Below are 5,422 nucleotides of genomic sequence, written 5' to 3'. Positions count from 1 at the left end.
CTGCAACTCAGGGCCCCTTCAGGCTGTCTCTCTTGTCTGGTTCAATTGGAGTAGGGGTTTTGAGATTATGAATTGTTCACTGAAAACTGCTCTTCTCTCTCCATTCCTGAAAGGGGCTGTTTGCAAGAATCAGGTCGCTTGGGGATTAGAATATAGTCTGGTGTGTTGTTTAAGGTTCTTTGGGTGATAGAATCTTACCTGAGGCCCCAGAGGCATGTGTCAGTGAAAGATGTCTGGGCTGTAGACCTAGCTGTCTCCCTTCATCTTGCATCTTGCAGGGGCTCTCTGGGAAAGACAGGAACCACGACAAAGGCAAGTCCAAGGTGGAACAGTGTTCTCACATCTCGGGCTGGCCTCTCACAGGTGCAGAAGATGTTGAGACAGTGACGATGGTAAGCCTGAATAACATGTCTGGTAGTGCTGTTGAAGGGCACTGTGGATTCCCCATGGAAGCCAAGAAAAATCAAAGTTAGCCTGAGAGAATGAGGTGCTTTTTGCTGGAGTCCAAGCAATTCTTAGTGATTCCTGTCAGAGGATCCAAAAGCCTCCTTCAAAGTGCAAACAACCTCTGCCCCCAAAATGAGACAAGGACCCACAACCTGGAGCACAGCCAGACTCCTCAAAGTCCCTTTTGCTCTCTGAAATCCCTGACAGCTAAATAATCTGTGCTGAGAGGCAGACCCATCCAGCAACAGAACAATGAAAGAGATCCTCTACAATAAAAAGGCCATGCAGATGAAATGAAATACAGGCTAGATATGAGGAAAAGCCAGACACAGCTGCCTGCTTCTCTTGCTTTGGGAATCATGCAGCCCTATGATAGAAGTGGGAAAGCAAGAGTTTATTTGTTTTAAAAGTATCAAAGCTTCCCAGTCGTTAAAACATGGCAGTGTTTCAAAAAAAACACTCACACAATGGTTGCCCAGGAAGGTCAGTCTCAATGAACTGGGCTATGTTTAGTGTGGAAATCACTGAGCCAGAAAACCCTAGGCTATTGAGGAACATGGAAGTCAAGAAAAGAAGAGGAAAGCGTGGAGACAACATCCCACCCAGCATCAATCCATTCCATGCCTATTTGCCTCTGGGTATGAAAGCCCTCAAATTGGGAGTTTGCCAGCATGGCCCCAATTTGCACCCCAAATGTTCCTTGCATGTTGGTCTAATCACACCTGAACACCGGGCCATGGTGTGGATTGCTTGTGAAGTTAAGGGAATGCTGGGATGAAGTTGGAAGCACCTTCTGTGTCATCTGTCCTTATTTATTTATTTATTGCAGGTAAAGTTGCAGGAACATAATCACCAGATTGTGTCCTCATCCTTATCTTACCTTAATGTTGCTTACACTCTATGTCCCAGGATGAAATTACAAGATGACGAAGGAGTGCCCCATCACAACTTGAAGCACCTGCTTGACAGAGAAACAAATTCAAGGTAAATTCAAGGGGTCCCTGAGGACTGCTAATGTCTCTTCCTGGGTTGGACAAGGGACAGTAAAGCACTGAATGTTGTTGGTTTTTTGGTGTGGTGTGCTCCTCTTCTTTCTAGAAAAGTAGCTTTTTTTTTTTTTTTTTTTTTTTTTGCAGGGGGAGGTGATTTCGATGCCAGCATGTCTCAGCCTACCTCCCAATTCACAGTGGATTCATGATCTGCAGAAAAATGAAGAACACAAAGCCCTGCAGGTCAAGCAGAACCACACAGACAGGACACCAAAGGGTTGGGAGACAAAAGAAAGAAGTGCTAAAGTGTGTTAGCCACATTTCTTTAAGCATGCTATACTTACAGGCACACAAAGACACAAACACAGCCACAAACATGCAAGGAAACAAGCACATTGATATCCAACACTCACAACACTCTCACAAAAACACACTTTCTTTCAGCTCATGAGGTTTTATGGTTCTGCAGAAATCCTCACTTTGAATAGAGCAACCTGGTACATAGAAATCACAGTGGGGCAAGTTTCAAAAAGACTCACCCTAAAATGTGTAGGCAGGCCTCAGAAATCTTGCAGATCCTTTTGATATTTAGGGAATTCAAGATTTATTCCTGGGGTGGTACTTGATGTTTCTTCAGGCTGGCTCACGTCTGTCCTCTCCTAGAATCATAGTACTACCCCGTGTATCCCACAGAGAAGACAGGCGAGAGTCCACCACCGATGCAAATCTACACGGAGGTCTCCTTTTCTCCCAAGCCACAGGGATTTGTCACTAGGCCATGGTTCCTTTCAATGTGAAGCTAGCCAGAACTCGCTATCAGCTGATTATCCTGAGACTAACGTATGGGCATGCTTAGTGGCCTGACTCTCAGAGCTGCCAGCCTGCCTAAGCAGAGGAAAATGGTACATGCAGAGCTGGCCTGTTATCGGGAAAAGGACTGCCTATGAAAACCCAATGTGGGACACTAAAATCTCTACTTCAGAGCCCCTTCAGGCTGTCTCTGTAGTTATGTCTTTCCGGTGCATCAGGCATTTCGAGACCATGAGGTGGTCACTGAAAACTACTCTTCTGACTCCATTCCCGAAGAGGCTGTGTATAAGAATTGGGTCTCATGGGGATTGGAATATTGTCTGATGTGTTGTTGAGGGTTGTTTAGGTGAGAGAATCATACCTAATAGCCTAGAGGCAGCTATCAGCAAAAGATGGTTGGGATCTTGACCTTGCTGCCTCCCTTCATCCAGATGAGGTTGAGACAGTGTCTCCATGCCATCTGTGGGGATGGCAAGTCTAAAAATCATGTTCAGTTGTGCTGTTGAGGGACACTGTGGATTCAACATGAAAGCTTAAAAAAAAATCAAGACTCACTTGAGAGAAGGAGCTGCCTTGTGCTGGAGTCTAAGCAATATTCATTGAGTTCTGTCAGAGGACCCAAAAGCCTCCTGCAAAGTGCAAACAACTTCAGCCCACACAATGAGACAATGACCCACAACCTGGAGGGCAGCCAGCCTACCTGAAGTCCCTTTTGCTCTCTGAAATTCCAGGCAGCTAAATAATCTGTGGTGAGAGGCAGTCCCATCCAGCAACAGCCAAATGACAGAACCCCTCCAGTGAGACGGTCCTGCAGATGAAATGAAAAAAAGGCTAAATTACCAGGCAAAAGCCAGACAAGGCTGCCTGTTTCTCATTTTTCAGGAATTGTGCAGCTCTCTGATAGAAGTGGGAGGACAAGAGTTTTCTTGTTGGTGGCTGTAATGGGAATTTATTGTTATAAAAGTATCAAAGTTGGACAGTCATTAAACATGACAGTGTTTAGAATAAAACACTCACGCAATGGATGACCATGAGTGTAATTCTCCATGGACTAGGAAATGTTTAAGGTGGAAGTCATTGAGCCAGACCCAGAAAACCCTAGGCCAAGGAGGAAAATGGAAGTCAAGAAAAGAAGAGGAAACTCTGGAGGCAACATCCTATGCAGTATCAAAATATTCAACTCCCATTTGGCTCTGTGTATGAAAGCCCTCAAATCACGAGTTTGCCAACATGGCCCCGATTTGCATATAAAATGTTCCTTGAAGGTTGGAGTTCTTCCATCTGAACACTGGGCCATGATGCGGACTGCGTGTGCAATTAAGGCAATGTGGTAATGGAATTAGAAGCAACTTCTGCATCATCTGTCTTTATTTATTTATTTTGCAGGTCAAGTTGCATGAACCCATCCACACCTCACCAGATTGTATACTCACCTTTATCTGAAATAGTTGCTGTTCACACTCTATGCCACAGAATGAAACCCTAAGAAGATGGAGGAGTGCCCCCTCACAGAGTGAAATACATTTTCCCCTGGGAACCAAATTTGAGGTAAATTCAAGGGGCCCTGAAGAAAGGACTGCTAGTGTCTCTCCTTGGTTTGGCCATAGGATAATGAAACACAGGGAGATGCATTTTTTTTCATGTGGTGTGCTTCTCTTCCTTCTAGAGGAGTGGCTTTTCTTTTTCAAGGGTAGTCATATGGATGCCAGCATGTCTTGGCATACTTAACAATTCATTGCAGATTCTTGGTCCACAGAAAAAAATCAGAACACAGAGCCCCACAACCCAAGAAGAGCCACACAGACAGCTCACCAGAAGGTTGCAAGACTCAAAAAAGAAGAAGAAGAAGAAGAAGAAGAAGAAGAAGAAGAAGAAGAAGAAGAAGAAGAAGAAGAAGAAGCAGCATGCTGAACAGCGTTAGCCACATTCCTTTTAGCAGACTCCTCTTAAAGGGACAGACACACACACACACAAACAGAATATCACACACACATAGACATCTAACTCTCGCAACACTCTCACAGAAACACAGAGCCCGGCAGCTACTGAGGCTGTGTGGTTCTACAGGAAGCCCCACCTAGCAGAAAGCAACCCCAGAAAACACAAGGGTTGTACATAAAAATCAGAGTGGGGCAAGTTTCCAAAAGACTCACCCCTACAACATCTGGGCCATCCTGAGGAATTAGGTGGATACTTTTGGATCCTTAGGGATTTACAGTTTATTTCTGGGACTTTTATTGATGTTTCTTCAGAGTCACTCATATCTGCCCTCTCTTAGGATCATGAGATGATTCCGCGGATCCCACAAAGAAGACAGGCAACAGTCCAACATCAATGCAACTCCATGGAGGTCCCCTTTTCCGCCAAGCTGAAGGGACTTTTGACTAAGCAATGTGACATTCATTGTGATACTAGCCAGAGCTCACAGTCTAGCCAGGTGCCCTCAGATTATGGCATAGGCATTCATAATGCAGGTTTGGATGCCAGACTTTCAGAGCTATCAACCTGCCTAATCAGAAAATAATGGTACAGGAAGAGCCAGCAAGCTACGGGGGAAAACTTCCTGAAAAAAAAAAAAACAACCATGAGGCCCTGAAACTCCTGACCTCAGGGCCCCTTCAGGTTGTCTCGTGGTCAGGTCTAGCTAAAGGAGGAGGCGTTTTGAGACTGTGAGGTGGTCTCAGGAAACTGCTCTTCTGACTCCATTCCCAAAAGGAGTGTGAAAGAATCAGGTCCCATGGGGATTGCAATATAGTCTGTTGTGTTTTTCAGGGTTCTTTGGGTGATGGAATTATACCTAAGACCTCAGAGATGGGTGTCAGTGAAAGATGGTGGCACTCTAGACCTCACTGCCTCTTTTTATCCTGGGACTCTGGGGTCTTTCTGGGAAATGCAATAGCCAATACAAAGGCAAGTCCAAGGTGAAGCAGTGTTCTTACACCTCGGAGCTTCCCACAAGTGCAAATGAGGTTGATACAGTGTCTCACAGGCATTCTGTTGCAATGGCAAGCCTGAAAATGATGTCCAGTAGTGCTGTTGAGGGGCACTGGGATTCCTGATGAAAGCAAAGAAAAATTAAGGCTTGCCTGAGAGAGAGAGCTGTATTTTGCAGGATTCCAAATGATTTTCAATGAGTTATGTCAGAGAACCCAAAAGCCTCCTGCAAAGGGCAAACC

At 45.1% G+C, this 5,422-nt stretch overlaps 1 long non-coding RNA gene across 1 annotated transcript; it reads left to right on the top strand.

Moving 5' to 3' along the window:
* Positions 1-254: 254 nt before the first annotated feature.
* On the top strand, positions 255-1,742 carry LOC107987354 (uncharacterized). Its single transcript, XR_001756088.2, has 3 exons — positions 255-392; positions 1,357-1,431; positions 1,584-1,742. It is a non-coding gene; the product is annotated as an uncharacterized LOC107987354 (long non-coding RNA).
* Positions 1,743-5,422: the final 3,680 nt, after the last annotated feature.

This window comes from Homo sapiens, chromosome Y (genome assembly GCF_000001405.40).
Source record: "Homo sapiens chromosome Y, GRCh38.p14 Primary Assembly".
NCBI lineage: Eukaryota > Metazoa > Chordata > Mammalia > Primates > Hominidae > Homo > Homo sapiens.
Note: the sequence above shows the minus strand (reverse complement) of the source record. Positions and strands in the feature narration are given on the sequence as shown.